The sequence below is a fragment of the Homo sapiens genome, chromosome 12 (genome assembly GCF_000001405.40).
Source record: "Homo sapiens chromosome 12, GRCh38.p14 Primary Assembly".
Classification (NCBI taxonomy): domain Eukaryota; kingdom Metazoa; phylum Chordata; class Mammalia; order Primates; family Hominidae; genus Homo; species Homo sapiens.
The window spans coordinates 66,525,862-66,544,805 of record NC_000012.12 but is presented as its reverse complement, the minus strand read 5'-3'; the positions used below and the strand labels follow the sequence as shown (position 1 = coordinate 66,544,805).

The 18,944-nt window shown below is 38.5% G+C and overlaps 1 protein-coding gene across 22 annotated transcripts in view; it reads left to right on the top strand.

Moving 5' to 3' along the window:
* GRIP1 (glutamate receptor interacting protein 1) overlaps nucleotides 1-18,944 on the top strand; it is a 721,908-nt gene that overhangs the window by 524,533 nt on the left and 178,431 nt on the right. For all 22 annotated transcript variants that reach the window (XM_047428622.1, XM_005268757.5, NM_001379351.1 and 19 more), the window contains 3 exons: nucleotides 2,856-2,991; nucleotides 5,583-5,728; nucleotides 14,892-14,975. In XM_047428622.1, the coding sequence (XP_047284578.1) occupies nucleotides 2,856-2,991; nucleotides 5,583-5,728; nucleotides 14,892-14,975 (366 nt within the window). The remainder of the gene's footprint in view (nucleotides 1-2,855; nucleotides 2,992-5,582; nucleotides 5,729-14,891; nucleotides 14,976-18,944) is intronic.

The window sequence follows — 18,944 nt, the reverse complement described above, 5'->3', positions numbered from 1 at the left end:
TTCAGGTGAGCCAAAAGCAAACTCCAAAAGCAGGTTCCTTTCTCTCCTGACCACTTCTCTCCCACCCCCTACAGAAACATCCATAAAAGATTTAGTCAATTCTTCTGGGACCAGAGATACTTATTGGCAGTTACCATTCTTGCGATTCAGCAAATTTTCTTGCAAGTATGTTCTATCTTTACTCCTGAGTTTTGCCTAATTTATATTCCTTCTTTGGTCTGCTCTGCTCAGCTAACCCTGGTCGATAAGTACAGCAGATTGGCTAGAAGACAAAATTGTAAAATAGATGGTGCATTTGGAATCTCAGGCCTTCGCTCTACGTTGTTGCCTGGACCATCTTCTCTGTGGCTGCTTCCCTACAACTCATGCTGTATGGTACAGTGGTCTGTGACGTTGCCTCTTTGACTAGGCTGTGGCCCATCTTGAGGATAATGGCCTTTGCTTTTTCCATCTTTGAGTTTTATTGTCTGGCTCAGAGTAGGCATTCAATACGTGCTTGAATCAATGAATGCACAAATTACTCAATTAACTGGTGCAGGAATATTTTCTCAATTTCACATTATTAAAATTAGCTCTTAGGAAAACATTTGAAATGTTTTTAAATGATAGGGTAATTGACAAGTATCAGTTGAAAAAGTAGCCAGATCGATGAATTTATATTTTAATAATGATGAAATTAAACTAAAATAATTGAGCTTTTCTAGATTTTCAGGATTCAGCCGGAAGCCCAGGAAGCACCTGGGTTCCTTCTGGAGAAAATGACATTGTCTGCCTCCCATAAGGCTGTACCCGTGCATCCTATTTTATGCAGGAAGCATGTCCTTGAAAACTTGGAGTAGAAGGAAAATTTTTATGAATAGAAACTTACTTCTCACATGCCTGGTGTTAGTATTTTAGAGTTGCTTCTTCATGAAAATTGGATAGACCTTTAAGATAAGCACTTAAAAAAAACTATGCTTCCAACTCTACATGTAAAGTTCTATAATCAGATGTCTAAATATATAGGATACTCTGCATATTTAAAGAAGATGCAGAGAATCTTTTTGTTGGCAAAATTGTTGGGCACATTATATCTCTTTAATATGAACGGTCATCATCTATGTCATTTTGGTTACTTTAATTATTAACTTTATTTTAAAAAAATTTATACCTAGCCTTCTGCCAGCAAGGGTTTAGAGGGATTGTTTATTAAGGTGATGTCTTCAATATCAGTTGAATCTACGTATGTTTTCATGAGATTTCTGGGGTTTGCTTTGTTTTGTTTTAAGTAGCACAAGGGAAGTGCACACAGTGATAGAATTTTGTTACAGATGTTTCTGGTAAATGATGTAAAAGGTCCTGTACTTTCATGCACTTGACAAGAATTTTCATTCTTGAATTTCAATTTTTATTTGGTCTGTCATACAAAATGTAGTAGATGAAGCTGACATCATACACGCTCAGACTCCTCCTTGGCTTCTACTTTAAAAGACGATAATGACTTATGTATACAGTGTCATGAGACTGCCATGAAAAGGCAGGATTCCAGTGATGGTATGCTGGGATGTTAAAGTCACAGGAGCTGGCAAACTCAAAAGCCCTGCCTTGAAGGACATTCTCTAGGCTGCTGAGGAAATAAGTAGCCTGCCGTCCCCAGCCTTCTTCCCCCAAGTACTCTGTTCTCCTCACTAGATCAGTTGAGATACTGTTTCCTTACCTAATGTAATTTCATTTTTTCATTGGCTAGTAGGATAATGTACTAGCAGCAGCAATTTAAAAACCTTTATGATACACATTTATAAATATTTTCAACATTATAAATAACTGTAATTAGGGAAAGGGTTAAGGTGTGCAAATAATCTTTTTTTAAATTTCACTTTGAAAGAGCGAGTTTGTTTTTGCATTTTAATATGCGTCTTTGATGTTCTAGAAGTTCATTACCCCTGAAATGTGTAACTTAATTTAGGAGAAGTTGGAAAATTGGACAATTTCCCCATCCCTACCAAGAAAATATATTTGCAGATAGGGGAATAACATCACAGATAATTTTAAAACAGCATTTATCCTAATTAGCCTCTGGAAGGTAAATATTGACTCTACTCATTTTTATTTTTGAAGGGAAGGATATTCTTACAGTTTTCTTACCTTCTGCTCTGACTAAAATCAAAAGAGTTGAGTTCTATCTTGCTATATAGATATTATCCCCACAAGATCTGTGAAATTTTAAAATTTCGTAAGCAGAGAATGAAAGATTTATGTCAGTTACCTGGAAATTCTGAGGATCAATCCTGCCTTGCCATACTGTGACATATTCTGCAAGAATGACATGAATTGTTACATAAGCCATCATACTTTGTTTTTGAAAGACAAAGAAAGTAAAGTCAATAATATTTTTCTAGAACCTGTAGAAAGCACTCTTCTCCTTTCAGTTGGCTTCCTAACCTGAGACATACCATGAACTTGGAGTGTGCCACTGTGCTATATATGTTCGTATTATCATCTAAAATTCTGTTCTAATTCTGTACTTTACAATTTTTAATTGTTCCCATTGGAGTTACAAGGAGAGAAACCAGAGAATGTCACCTGAGAATGGCAGAAAATAAAGGGTGAATATTATTTGTACATAAGACAATTTGGACTATTGTCAACCTGGAGTGAATACCCCACCAGTGCCCATTTTCATAACCTCTAATAGAATATCTGCCTCAGCATTACCTGCATGCACATCTTTATGAAATATTCTTCAAATTACAATGGAAGGAGGCCATAAATATCTTTTCTCATAAAAGAAAAAGTGGAAAGAACTTCTGGGGAGGAGAAATGACATTGGTGATTCTACTCTCATTTTAATAAGGCAAATGCTTTTCTTTTAACAGAGGAATTCAAGGGCTCCACAGTCGTCGAGCTGATGAAGAAGGAAGGCACTACCCTGGGTCTGACGGTATCGGGAGGAATTGATAAGGATGGCAAGCCAAGAGTATCTAATCTGCGGCAAGGAGGAATTGCTGCTAGGTAACTGCCTCTTGGGGAAATCTACTGAAAGGAACACAGGGTGTAATTAATTCAAAAATTAAAGCTCCATCAAAAGTGGTCACTAATAAATAAATGACAGCTGCCATCTGCCAGGCAGCACAGGCCAGCAGAAGCACAGTGGGGCACGTTTCAGAAGCTGTTCCCCAGGTCTGCCCATGTGGCTGTTCTAGCCTAGGCTGCAGTCCCAGGGAGGTTCTTGTGTCATCTCAGGAGCTGCCAGGCCCTCACAAGATTTTAATTTCAAAAAGCCTATGTGAATCTTGTCTGCAAATGTGCCACTGAACAGCAGACAAGCTGCAGTGGGAAGGAGACACTCCAATCATCTAAATGTGAAACAGATGACCCATATAATGTGAATGGGGAAAAGTGCCAGAGAGGGGACATGGCTACCCTAGAAAGAATGGGAGACCTAACTCTGAGTTTTCAGTGAAAATTTTGTTTATCTCACATCCTCTCTCCTTTTCTACCTGTGAGATTTTAAAGAGTTGGTTTCCGAAAGGACAGAAGGCTTAGAGGAGGAGGTCTCACCTGTCTTTCTTTCCATGAACTGCAAATTCCACTAGTTATTGCCAAAGGCAGAATGTCCTGGATACTGGGCAGGGGTGGGCTTCCTTGAGATACATTCTAAATCTGCCTCAGAAAAAGGGGACAGAAGATCAGGTTTCATTAAAAATGAGGCCAGGCCGGGCAGTGACTCATGCCTGTAATCCCAGCACATTGGGAGGCCAAGGCAGGTGAATCACCTGAGGTCAGGAGTTCGAGACCAGCTTGACCAACATGGTGAAACCCATCTCTACTAAAAAAATTTAAAAAAAAAATTAAAAAAAAAAAGCCAGGTGTGATGGCACATGCCTGTAATCCCAGCTACTTGGGAGGCTGAGGCAGGAGAATCACTTGAATCCGCCCAGGAGGCGGAGGTTGCAGTGAACTAAGACTGTGCCATTGCACTCCAGCCTGGACAACAGCAGCGAAACTCCATCTCAAATAAATAAATAAATAAATAAGTAAAAATAAAAAATAAAAGTGAGGCCAAAGTACCTTAAATTCTGGCCACCAATATTCATATCCACATAATTCCAGGTTAAATCTGAGTTCTTGCCCCATAAAATGTCATCTGAAGTGGTGATTTCTGTGATTAATTTTAATGATCAACCTGTTTGTACAATTTATAAACTTAATCCAGTGGATTGCCTCCATGATCAGAAGTTATTGTTTGTAAGGGAGGCTGGTGTGGACACAAGCACCTCAATCTGCTTTCTTTAGGCTTTTAAGAAGCATCTTTCCACACCCACAACCTCCTTTATTTTATAACAATCATGGCCAGTTCATGATGCTAGGGGTTCATAAGTCTCCAGAGCTTCTTTATAGCTCTCCCTTAAGGCAAGTGTGAATGGAGGAAAGGGTAGCATTTTCAGTTGTATTAATTCTGTAATTAAAAGTATTACTGTGCCAGTTATATTGAGAATTAAAAATCACCAAATAGTCACTGTTAAAGGCACTACCATTTTGAAGGTAGTAAATCAGAATAATTAAAGATGAGATCCTTGCCCTAAAGGGGCTCACAATCTATTAGTGGAGATAAGGCATAAAAAACATGAAACATTTGGGAGTAAAAATGGCATTGCATGATAGCAAAAAGCAACAGCACAGAAGTTATTACAGAGCATTAGGCGGTTAAGTTGACATAAGTGTCAGGAAAGTGAGGTAAGGGCCATGCATGTACTGCAGACTGGAGCAGATTAGGAGGCTCTTTGAAGGAGGAATGATTGGAGCTGGATTTATATATAAAATAAATGCATTAGCTATTTCTGTTTTGGGAGAAAATGTTATTGAAGGTCCTTATCAGTGACATGAATTTTAACTCTTATTATTGGTCTTGCTACCTGCTCTTGGTTTAGAAACGGAGTTTGACTAAAGTCCAAGAGCAGCCAATATTCTGTTATGGTGGTATAGAGAGATAAGAATGTTACTGAAACCCAATATTTGCATTGTGATTTCTCCTTCACCAATACTCTTCTTATCAATCCTGCTGTAAGCAATAAATAGCAAAATAAGCTGACCCTTTCCTTAGTCCTGGACAAACTCCCAGTGAAGTTATTGAAAGAGGTGAAATGTACAAAAGGGAGGCAGCAAAAACAAGAGGGATTGAGAATAAAAAGACATGTGTTGTGTCTAGGATCTGGATCCCATCCCAGAGAACCAACTGGTTTAGGGCAAAGAACTGAAAAAAAAAAAAAAAAAAAAAAAAGCTTCTCTTGATTTTGTTTTATGGTGCTTTTAAAAATAAAACAGGCAAAAAGGAAAAAAATCAGAGATAGTGGCAGAATCAGAGCAGGACTTCCAAAGTATCACAGGCTGCATGAGTAAAAGGGATCCCTGGCTCTCATCTGACTTCAGCTGTACTCTTACCCTTAAGGGCCCACCGTCTCCTAGGAGGCAGGGACTTCTGCTGTCAGCCTTCTAGGCTTGCTTCTACACTTGCATGCTTACCATGAAGGGAAAGTGGAAATATAGTCAGACTGGCCTATGGAGAGGGTGGGTCTGTTGAAACAACATTGTCTATTTTGCAGAAGTGACCAGCTGGATGTGGGTGACTACATCAAAGCAGTGAATGGAATCAACCTGGCCAAATTCCGCCATGACGAGATCATCAGCTTGCTGAAGAATGTGGGAGAAAGAGTGGTTCTTGAAGTAGAGTACGAGCTTCCACCGGTCTGTAAGTACAGTAGCCCCCCTTATCCATAGGGGATACATTCCAAGACCCCCAGTGGATGCCTAAAACTGCTCATAATACCAAACCCTATATATATCAGGTTTTTTTCTATACATACATACTTATGATAAAGTTTAATTGATAAATTTGGCACAGTAAGACATTGACAACAATAACTGGCTGGGCGCGGTGGCTCACGTCTATAATCCTAGCACTTTGGGAGGCTGAGGCAGGAGGATTGCTTGAGCCCAGTGGTTCGAGACCAGCCTGGGCAACATGGCAAAGCCCCACCTCTACAAAAAATAGAAAAATTAGTCGGGCATGGTGGTGCACACCTGTAGTCCCAGTTACTCAGGAGGTTAAAGTGGGAGGATTGCTTGAGCCCAAGATGTTGAGGCTGCAGTGAGACATGATCACGCCACTGCCATCCAGCCTGGGGGACATAGCAAGGCCCTGTCTCAAAAAAACAAACACACACAACATTAATAAAATGGAATAATTATATCAATATGCCAATCTCACTACTCTTCTGCTTTCAGCCATTATTAAGTAAAATAAGGGTTCCTTGAACACAAGTACTGCAAGGGCTAGGCATGGTGGCATATGCCTGTAATCCCAGAACTTTGGAAGGCTGAGGCGGGAGGATCACTTGAAGCCAGGAGTTGAAGACCAGCCTGGGCAACAAAATGAGACCATGTTTCTACCAAAAAAAGATTAGTCGGGCATGGTGGCATATGCCTGTAGTCCCAGCTACTTGGGAGGCTGAGGCAGAAGGATTCCTTGAGCCCAGAAGGTCGAGGCTGCAGTGAGCTATGATTGTGTCATTGCACTCCAGCCTAGGTGACAGAGCAAAACCCTGTTTAAAAAAAAAAAAAAAAAAGTACAGCAAGAACACAACAGCCAATCTGATACCAAAGATGGCTGCAAAGTGACTAAGGCAGGTAGTGTAAACAGCGTGAATGTGCCAGACATCCAGATGGATAGAGCAGACAATGTGAGATTATCATCACACTACTCCTAACAGCACACAATTTAAAACAGGGATGGTTTATTTCTGGAATTGTCTACTTAATATTTTCAGACTGCAGTTAATTGGAGGTAACTGAAACCACAGAAAATAAAACTGCAGATAAGGAGGAATTGCTATAATCATAACGCAGAGGAAGAACAGCGGCACCAGTTTTTCCAAAGCAAAATCAGCTTCTGAATTTTTTCCCTTTGCCATCAATATCTCATTACAGGAATGGCAAAGCCAACTTTCTTAGTATTTAAAAATTATTTGAATTGGAAAACTTACAACCTACTCAGGAAGAATTTAAAAAGGCATCACTAACAATGAAATTATGAAGGGCCCATGTTCTGTTTGCCACCTAAGCCATTTTAATTCAACATGTTTGTAAGTTCTGTGCAATAAGTACCATCCAGGTTTTGTACTTAGTGACTAGGTTTAGGAAAAGCATATTTAGTATGTTTTATATTAGTTCTTTATGGATACATTAATTTCTTTTTTAATTTTTAATTTCTGTGGGTACATAGTAGGTATACATATATATATATATATGATATATCCATTTCTGAAGCATGAAAATAGCTTCAGAACACATATTGTCAAGTAGTAATAATAGTAATTATAACAGCAGTAGCCAACAGATTTTGATTGTACCAAATGTCTGGCATTACAAAGAACTTGACTTGCATTGAATTATTTAATCCTTTCCACAAGGAGTGTCAGCATAGCAGAGATGAACTTTAGTATCAAATAGACAGGTTCAAATCCCAGCTCCACATTTTACTAGCTACATGCCTTTGAGAAAGTTACTTACACTTTCTATGTCTTAGTTTCCACATCTGTAAAATGCGAATATTATTAGTTCCTACTCATAGATTTGTTATGAGGATTAATTAAGTTAGTATTTGGAAAACATTTAGAATAGTGCCTGGCACTATCAAAGTTTTCAATAAAAAGGCAATCAACACTACAAGATAGGCATTTTTTTTTCTCATTTTACAAAGCCTGGATTCAATATCTGAATCCAGGCTGCCAGACTCCAAAGTCCATATGCATATTCATTGTGAGGTATACTGATATATGACTGCTGCCCAGTGTTTATGCTGTTCTAGCACCACCTCTCCTATTATTAGCTATGAACATGGATGCTACCCTGAGATAGCTTTTTGCTCTTCCATACTAATGAGAACTCAGGTTGATTATGAAGAGTTGGTAGAATTCATTTGTTCAGCAATGACTTATTGAGCATTTACTATGTTCCAGCCACCACTATGTACTAGGAGCTTGGGGAACATGAGTAGAGTTTATATTGTAGCAGAAGACAGATAATAAAATAAAACCATAATAAATAATTATACAGTATGAATACTATGAATGCTATGCGAAAAAGCAGTGCAAGGAGAGGGATTGAGAGTGCTGGGATCAGGGTGGGAATACAATTGCAAATAGGGTGGTTAGGACAGCATCATTGAGAATGTGAGATTAGTCAATGACTTGTGAAGGAGGTGAGGGAGTTGGTTGTATGGATTTCTGGGGGAAAAGAGTTCCCGGAAGAATGAACAGTCATTGCTAAGACCAAAAGCCAGGAATATACTTACGGTTGTTATAGAAACATTAAGGAGGACAGTGTGGCTATAGCAGAATGAGCAGTAAGAGAATTAGGAAATGGGGTCAGAAATGTAAGGGGGTGGGGTATCACTATAGGCCACTGGGAGGACCTTAAGTTTTTCTCTGAATGATACAGGAAGTCACTATATGGTTTGGGGCAGAGGAGTGACATGATGTGATTTGTTTTCAGAGGCTCTCTGGCTGCTGTGTTGACAACAGACTGTAAGAGACCAGGGTAGAAGCTGGGAGATGAGCTGGAGGGCAGTTACAGTGATCCATGTGAGAGATGGCAGTGGAGACAGTGAAAAGCAGTCAGATTCCAGATCTGTTCTGAAGGGAGAGCCTACAGGATTACCTAATGGATTTGTGAGTTGTGCAGAAAAAGAGGAGTCAAAGTTAACCCCAAGGTTTTGAGCATGAGCAGCTGGAAGGACAGAGTATCCGTTAACAGGAATGGATAAGAATGTGGGCAGAGCTGATTTGTGAGGGAAAGATCAGCAGTTCATGGCTTGAAATACTACATTTGAGGTGCCTATTTGACATGCAAGAGGAAATGTCAAGACCTGAAGATATGATTTGGAGTTTGAGAGAAAGATCTGTACTGTAAATATACATTTGAGAGTAATGGGAATATAGATGGTGTTCGAAGCTTGGGGATCAGATTCCAGTACTCAGGAAACATGTGCATAATCAGTCACAAGTTCGTATTCTTCACATAAAGTCTAACACCAAAGATTTAGTAGTCATTTTGTAACAAAATCAATTTAAGACTATGTTCACAAACCTTGCTACAACATTTTTTCGTTTTCAGCAAGACTAGGCAATAAAATAGAGTGTAAAGGCTTAGACTGTGTCAGCAGTTACATGGCAGCTTTGCTCATTTCTGTCTTTGTGACCTTGGGCATGTTATTTAAATTCTCTGAGCCTTCAGTTTCTAATCTATAAAATAGCTATAGTAGTTGCAGGATTTTTGTAATGATTAAATGTTATAATCACATGATCATTATTGAGACCATTATCAAACACTTTGTAAGTAACTAATAACATTAGCCTTATTACCATTATTACATTATTATACTGAAAGTACTGTGTTTTTTTTTTTAACTTTAAATGAGTCAGTTTGCTTTGAAATTACTCTCTCAAACCATTGCCAAAGACATAAGAGAAACCAGTTATCTAGAGCTAATGCTCTTTGATTATACATCTGTATTCCTCTGGGGATATGAATATCAATAAAACACAACCCCTTCCTAAAAGAAACTCTAAGTATAGCTTTTAGGCAAAGGCTAATAGTGAAGATTTGTCCAGTGTTGTGGGTGATTCAGAGCTAGGCGTTTCCAGGAAGACTTAAAGGAGGTCATGCTAGCCAGGTGGGAAGAGGAATATTTCAGACAAAGGGTGCAGCGCGAAGGGAAGATGACAGCCCAGCCCACAGTTAAACTACAAACAGATAGGGAAAGACAGAGAGGGGGCTAGGTGTGGTGGCTGATGCCTGTAATCCCAGCACTTTGGGAGGCCAAGGCAGATGGATCACTTGAGTTCAGGAGCTCGAGACCAGCCTGGCCAACATGGTGAAACCCTGTATCTACTAAAAACACAAAAATTAGCCAGGCATGGTGGTGGGCGCCAGTAATCCCAGCTATTTGGGAGGCTGAGGCAGGAGAATCACTTGAACCTGGGAGGCAGAGGTTGTGGTGAGCCGAGATTATGCCACTGCACTCCAGCCTGGGCAACAGAGCAAGACTCCATCTCAAAAAGAGAGAGAGAGAGAAGGAAGAATGGACAGAAGGAAGGAAGGGAGGAAGGGAAGAGAGAAAGAGGGAGAAAGACGGAGAAGGAGGGACAAAGAAAGAGGGGGCTTGGAGATAGATGAGGCCAATGAGGTACACGAGGACCAAATGAGAATTTAAATAGTGTATAATATGGCCTTATAAGCCATATTGTTGGAGCTTGGCATCCAGTGGGCCGTGAGGAGCCCTTAAAGGAGAACAGCATCATAAGATCTGAGTATTTAGATTTATCATTGTAGGAGGCAAAATAGAGAAAAGACCAGAGGCTACAAGCCCAAAGACTGTTAGGATTTTCCAAAAGAGAAGTGATATCCTAAATAAAAATAGCATTAGTAGAGTTAAAGGAGATGAGTATCAGAAATGTTTAGGAGTTAAAACCTATCGTGACTTGGTCATTATGCAGTACCATCTTTTTCCCTGTCATACAATAAAGCTGATGGAAAAGGGGCAAAATATTTTTAAACACAAAAGTGTGAATTGTTGTGACGGAAATCAAAAGGGGTCTATTCTCCAAGAATAATCTGTCTCTTTCTACTATATTTGAAGAAAGTAATCGGATACTTGAGTTGAGAGTGGTTGAAGGAATTAATAAGTTCCCCTTTCACTTAGCTCAGACAGCTAGAGCAGAAACAGGCCATCCACACCTGAAGGTCCATAAGGAGAACTGACTGCTAAAAGACAAGCGACCCAAGGCCAAGACTGGTAGCTATCTCAGGATCACAGCAGTTTGAGTCTCAGCTAACCACAGAGTTCAGAAAGAATCAGAAAAGAGAGAGAGAGAGAGAGTGTGTGTATGTGTGTGTGTGTGTGAGTGTGTGTGTGTGTGTGTGTGTAATCTGATAGAAGAAAACTGGTTTGACCTTGGCCCTTTCTAAGATTCAGTTTCTTTATGAAAATAAAATGATTGGTCTATATAAGCTCTAAAGCTCTTTCTGACTTTAAAATTATGTGATTCTTTGAGACTGTGTTTAGAGAGAATATTACCAACCTGTATCTTAGATATTTATGTATTTTTGTTTGTTTGTTTTGAGATGGAGTTTCGCTCTTGTCACCCAGGCCGGAGTGCAGTGGCACAATCTCGGCTCACTGCAACCTCCACCTCTCAGATTCAAGCAATTCTCCTGCCTCAGCCTCCTGAGTAGCTGGGATTACAGGTGCCCACCATTATGTCCGGCTAATTTTTATATTTGTAGTAGAGATGGGGTTTTACCACATTGACCAGGCTGGTCTCAAACTCCTGACCTCAGGTGATCACCTGCCTCAGCCTCCTAAAGTGCTGGGATTACAGGCATGAGCCACCACGCCCGGCCTGATATTTATGTATTAAAAGCTGGTCTAGGCCAGCTGTGGTGGCTTACACCTGTAATCCTAGCACTTTGGGAGGCTGAGGCAGGAGGATCCCTTGAGCCCAGGAGTTTAAGACCACCCTGGGCAACATAGAAAGACCCTGTCTCAATTAAAAATAAATAAATAATAAAAATAAAAATTTGGTCTAGAGCAGTGCCTTCAAATTTTTTGGTCACTTAACTCTTAAAGAATTTTGAAATGTTACATAATTCTCATCCATTTTTAGTTAACACCTAAAATTATCATAAGCATGAATAGTTAGAAAGGATGCAATTCCTAGCATATTGTTTGTTTTATCTGTCTTTAGATTCTGTTTTCATGCAAACCTTGGAGCTACAGGTTTACTTCATTTAATGAAAAACAGTCTGCCCTATAATCTGATTGGCAAAGGCACTCTTCACTGTTACTCCATTAGCTAACTCACATGACCTTTCTATCCTAAGGAGTCATTTTTAACTCAAATAAATGTGTTAAAGCATGTCCCTTTGACAGCCTTCTGACTTCTCAGTTCTAAAATAGACAGATGATGGTGGTGGTGGTGGTGGTGGTGGTGAAGTGGAGGAGGAGAGAGGGAGAAAGAGTCTCAGGTCTCCTCCATGTGATTTACTCTGGGATTCAGTTTGAGGGAGCAGCAGCTACCTGGAGGACGCTCTTCTTGTGGCAATGGCAGAGGGAAAACAGGGCAAGCACAACCATGTAAGTGCAATTCCAGCCTCTGCTTGTGTCTGTTAACATCCTAGTGGCAAAAGTAAGTCACATGGGCAAGTGCAGCATAATGAGGTAGGAAAGTTCACAACTCCTATTGAGACAGGGAATAGGGAGGCAGGGAAGGAGTTTGTAATTTCAAAAACCTCATCTACCATAGGAAAATAACTGTGTAGAAGTACATGAATATCCACATGTAGAAAGAAGGGACAACAGCACAATTGAAAGACCGAGGAGAATTTTTGCATTGTGAATTTGGTTTCTACCTACTTTTTGATCTTTTGGGTAAGCACCTTAATTGGAACTTTGTGTATACATACATATGTATGAGTCATTAGTAAAATTTACATGGCAATGCAGGATGTCTGGTACTGCACGTGAAAACCCAATCATGAAGAGCCAGCCATGCAAATAAAAACAAGAAAGACCAAATCTATTTCATTAATTGTATTAAAACGCAGTCAACATTCAAATTTATCTTTGTAAATGATGGAGAACAATAGCGTAGATAATCTAAAGCTGTAGAAAATACAGAGCCTTTATATTGACTTTAAATTTGATTGTAAGATTTTATAGTCAGCAAGATTTAGCTACAGCAAAATCAAAATTGCAGTACTTTGCATTCCCATAACAGATACCCAGCCAAAAAGGACAGGTGGCCCAGAATTAGAATTCAATTATATGTCATTGAAAGCTGATTTATTGAGTAAATGAAATAATATGTGTAAACCATTTTTGCAGAGTTCTGAGCACACAGTAAATTCTTATTAATTATTTCTTTCCATATCCTTTCCTTTCCTCACTTACCAAGAGAACAAAAAAAAAATCATTTTCTTAACCAATTTCTTCAAGTGGCTTGTTGGGCCATGGAAATAAGAAAATATTTGGAATGAACTCAATTTTTTTTGTTTAATTAAAACTGTACCTCAACACTTTCATCTGTTTGTGAGTACTGTTCCTAGTTGATTAGTCTAAGCTGAAATTCCCCTGATAGCAAGAATATGACATTTAATTAAATCAGCAGTATACCAAAACATTTTTGAACTGTAGGTTTATGTTGTTTTTCAGCCGATCCAAATTTTTATTGTACTTTATGTCCCAGCCAGATAGTGGACAGTTTTATGAATTTAAATGTGTACTTTTCTTAATCATGTTTCTTCCCTTGAGGGTTCAGAATTTCTGATAATTAAAAATAATTGTAATTAAAGCCTAAAACTACTTGCTATTTCTGTAAGAAAAGTTTTTTTAAACAATGCCTTTGGATTCTGCCTGTGTGTGTATATATATGTATATATGTATATGTATGTGTGTGTGTGTGTATATATATATATATATATATATATATATATATATATATATATATATATATTTTTTTTTTTTTTTTTTGAGACAGAGTCTCACTCTGTCACCCAGGCTGGAGTGCAGTGGCACGATCTCAGCTCACTGCAACCTCCGCCCCCGCGGGTTCAAGTGATTCTCCTGCCTCAGCCTCCAAAGTAGCTGGGATTACAGGCATCTTCCACCACGCCCAGCTGATTTTTGCATTTTTAGTAGAGATGAGGTTTCACGATCTTAGCCAGGCTGGCCTTGAATTCCTGACCTTGTGATCCACCCGCCTTGGCATCCCAAAGTGCTGGGATTACAGGCGTGAGCCACCGCGCCTGGCCTGACTGTATACTTTTTGCTGATAGTTTTATCTAATAAACCCTTCAGGATCTAGTAGCAATGTAAAAAAATGTGTTACTTGGTAATGAACATGGTATTAACTAGGTACAAATTCAAAATAAAGATCTAAAATTCTCCTACACATTACAAGTCTCTATGAATAAAAACATTTCTCTGTGCATAATGATAAAATACCAGTTTGTGGAAGTTTTATGGGTTTTTTTATGCAGAAATGGTGTATATAGTACAACTAGAATGACTCAACAGGTTCTTGTAAGCAATCTTACAGAATATTTTAGTAAATGTACCTTCATATACCTTATACCATCATACATGTATGTAATGTGACTAGAGATTGCAGCTTGACAATACAATTCCATTTTGTTAAATGAAAGTGATAATCATGCAAACACAACATAAGCATAATATATCAAGTAAAATTAAGTCAATCTGTAGTTTCTTAGATAGTAGTAGTATTTTAAATGCACTTAGAATTTCTTTTGCCCTCTAAGTTTCATCTGGGTTGCTGTGTCTTAGTTTAATAGCTATTTATATGTCAGAACATCTATTAGCATCAGCCTAATTGTTGATAGCAATCTGAGAATGATAATTTTTCTTCCTGTGCCAGCTGCAAAATAAAAATAAATACAGAAGTTATTGTACAAGTGTTACAAAAATATTGTTTTTGCATTTTACAAAAGGAAAACAATTCTACTTATATAAATATTGTCTCTCTTGTTAGGTAGAGTTTAAACAATGTAAATATCCCCCTCTTATCTAGAAACGAACTATATAGAAGGAAATGAGCTAGCTATGATTTTGTTTCCACTTGTATCTATATGAGTCACTTATACAGATGACTGTTTTATGGTATTTTTATGTCATTACAGTTTTTTAAACATTTTCTTTGAAAAGGAATTGTTGCTTATTACTCAAAACTTATTTGCAACAGGGATCTGTAATATTTTATGCCACATTGAATGATTTAGAAATGTTATGATGACTTACAAGTTATATTTCCTTCTCTCTTTCCTTTATTCAGCTGTGCAAGGATCAAGTGTTATTTTCCGAACAGTGGAGGTCACATTACATAAAGAAGGCAATACCTTTGGTTTTGTAATTCGAGGTAGGTGTTGGTTAGAAAAATCTACTTTAAAAAAAATATTTCCATAGGTTTTCAGAGAACAGGTGGTATTTGGGTATTTGGTTACATGAATAAGTTATTTAGTGGTGATTTGTGAGATTTTGGTGCACCCACGACCCGAGCAGTATACACTGAACCCAATTTGTAGCCTTTTATTCCTCAGCCCCCTCCCCCTTTCCCCGAGTCCTGAAAGTCCCTTGTATCTTTCTTATGCCTTTGCATTCTCATAGCTTAGCTCCTACTTACGAGTGAGAACATACGATATTTGATTTTCCTTTCCTGAGTTACTTCACTTAAAATAATGGTCTCCAATTCCATCCAGATTGCTGCAAATTCCATTAATTCATTCCTTTTTATGGCTGAGTAGTATTCTATTGTATATGTATACCAGTTTCTTTATCCACTAGTTGATTGATGGGTATTTGGGCTGGTTCCATATTTTTGCAATTGCAAATCGTGCTGCTGTAAATATGCATGTGCAAGTATCTTTTTTGTATTATGACTTCTTTTCCTCTGGTAGATATCCAGTTGTGGAATTGCTGGATCAAATGATAGTTCTACTTTTTGTTCTTTAAGGATCCCCACACTGTTTTCTATAGTGGTTGTACTAGTTTACATTCCCTCCAGCAGTGTAGAAGTGTTCCCTTTTCACTGCATCCACGTCAACATTTTTTTTTTTATTTTTTGATTATGGCCACTCTTGCAGGAATAAGGTGGTACCACATTGTGGTTTTGATTTGCATTTCCCTGATCATTAGTGATGTTGAGCATTTTTTCATATGTTTGTTGGCCATTTTTATATCTTCTTTTGAGAATTGTCTATTCATGTCCTTAGCCCACTTTTTGATGGGATTGTTTGGTTTTTTCTTGCTAATTTCTTTGAGTTCCCTACAGATTCTGGATATTAGTCCTTTGTTGGATGTATTGGTTGTAAAGATTTTCTCTCACTCTCTGGGTTAGAAAAATCTTCTCTTCTTTAAATAAACGCAACATTGAATGATAATAAAACTGGAAACCATATGTAGCTCTATTTTTGGTTCATTAATACAGAGCAAAAAGCCAATGTTTATAAACCTTGTCAATTCAGTCATCCTATACTTTTCAACATGTCTTTTGTCTTTCCTTTTATATTTTTCGATATCACTGAAAAATGTTGATTAGTATGCTTGATTTGATTTAATACACTAGGATTAAGGGACTTTATTTAAATAAATTTCTCCAGAAACACATTTGGTTATTGTAGCTTTCTAAAAATGGATCGAAGATTCTAATCTCTTGGGTATCTATGTGCTTCAGCTCAAGTCATCATATTATAGTATGGCATTGATAATAACAATTTCAGGTGACTCCAACTTATCATAAAACTACTAATTCTAGGCCGGGCACAGTGACTCACGCCTGTAATCCCAGCACTTTGGGAGGCCGAGGCAGGCAGATAATGAGGTCAGGAGATCGAGACCATCCTGGCTAACACGGTGAAACCCCATCTCTACTGAAAAAATACAAAAACATTAGCCGGGCGTGGTGGCAGGCGCCTGTAGTCCCAGCTACTCAGGAGGCTGAGGCAGGAGAATGGTGTGAACCCGGGAGGTGGAGCTTGCAGTGAGCCCAGATCGTGCCACTGCACTCCAGCCTGGGTGATAGAGCCAGACTCCATCTCAAAAAAAAAAAAAAAAAACCTACTAATTCTAAAGTATAATTCTATCTTGCATTATATTTTCTCATTAGTAATTTTATTCCTTAAAGACTGTGCCTACATTAACAACTCTCAACTCATAGGATGACAATGAGCTTCAATAGGGAGCTATATAAACATCAGGGATTTTTTTTCTTTCCAACTTCTATCTTAGGTTCAAGGGGTACATGTTCAGGTTTGTTACATGGGGGAATTGCATGTCATGGGGGCTTGGGGTACAGATAATTTTGTCATCCAAGTAATCATCATCATACTCAATCAGTTTTTCAATCCTCATCCTCCTCCTCCTCCCACCCTCCAACCTCCACCCTCAAATAGGCCTCAGTGTCTGTTGTTCCCTTCTTTGTGTCCATGTGTACTCAATGCTTAGCACCCACTTATAAGTGAGAACATGCAGTATTTGGTTTTCCACAGTCAGAAATTTTTTTTTAATTTTGTTATTATTATACTTTAAGTTTTAGGGTACATGTGCACAATGTACAGGTTTGTTACATATGTATACATGTGCCATGTTGGTGTGCTGCATCCATTAACTTGTCATTTAGCATTAGGTATATCTCCTAATGCTATCCCTCCCCCATCCCCACACCCCACAACACTCCCCGGAGTGTGATGTTCCCCTTCCTGTGTCCATGTTCTCATTGTTCAATTCCCACCTATGAGTGAGAACATGCAGTGTTTGGTTTTTTGTCCTTGCGATAGTTTGCTGAGAATGATGGTTTCCAGTTTCATCCATGTCCCTATAAAGGACATGAACTCATCATTTTTTATGGCTGCATAGTATTCCATGGTGTATATGTGCCACATTTTCTTAATCCAGTCTATCATTGTTGGACATTTGGGTTGGTTCCAAGTCTTTGCTATCGTGAATAGTGCCGCAATAAACATACGTGTGCATGTGTCTTTATAGCAGCATGATTTATAATCCTTTGGGTATATACCCAGTAATGGGATGGCTAGGTCAAATGGTATTTCTAGTTCTAGATCCCTGAGGAATCGCCACACTGACTTCCACAATGGTTGAACTAGTTTACAGTCCCACCAACAGTGTAAAAATGTTCCTATTTCTCCACATCCTCTCCAGCACCTGTTGTTACCTGACTTTTTAATGATCGCCATTCTAACTGGTATGAGATGGTATCTCCTTCTGGTTTTGATTTGCATTTCTCTGATGGCCAGTGATGATGAGCATTTCTTCATGTGTTTTTTGGCTGCGTAAATGTCTTCTTTTGAGAAGTGTCTGTTCATATCCTTCACCCACTTTTTGATGGGGTTGTTTTTTTCTTGTAAATTTGTTTGAGTTCATTGTAGATTCTGGATATTAGCTCTTTGTCAGATGAGTAGATTGCAAAAATTCTCTCCCATTCTGTAGGTTGCCTGTTCACTCTGATGGTAGTTTCTTTTGCTGTGCAGAAGCTCTTTAGTTTAATTAGATCCCATTTGTCAATTTTGGCTTTTGTTGCCATTGCTTTTGGTGTTTTAGACATGAAGTCCTTGCCCATGCCTATGTCCTGAATGATATTGCCTAGGTTTTCTTCTAGGGTTTTTATTGTTTTAGGTCTAACATTTAAGTCTTTAATCCATCTTGAATTAATTTTTGTATAAGGTGTAAGGAAGGGATCCAGTTTCAGCTTTCTACATATGGCTAGCCAGTTTTCCCAGCACCATTTATTAAATAGGGAATCCTTTCCCCATTTCTTGTTTTAGTCAGGTTTGTCAAAGATCAGATGGTTGTAGACATGCAGCATTATTTCTGAGGGCTCTGTTCTGTTCCATTGATCTATATCTGTGTTTTTGTACCAGTACCATGCTGTTTTGGTTACTGTAGCCTTGTAGTATAGTTTGAAGTCAGGTAGCTTGATGCCTCCAGCTTTGTTTTTTTGGCTTAGGATTGACTTGGCAATGCAGGCTCTTTTTTGGTTCCATATGAACTTTAAAGTAGTTTTTTCCAATTCTGTGAAGAAAGTCATTGGTAGCTTGTTGGGGATGGCATTGAATCTATAAATTACCTTGGGCAGTATGGCCATTTTCACGTTGATTCTTCCTATCGATGAGTATGGAATGTTCTTCCATTTGTTTGTATCCTCTTTTATTTCATTGAGCAGTGGTTTGTAGTTCTCCTTGAAGAGGTCCTTCACAACCCTTGTAAGTTGGATTCCTAGGTATTTTATTCTCTTTGAAGCAATTGTGAATGGGAGTTAACTCATGATTTGGCTCTCTGTTTGTCTGTTATTGGTGTATAAGAATGCTTGTGA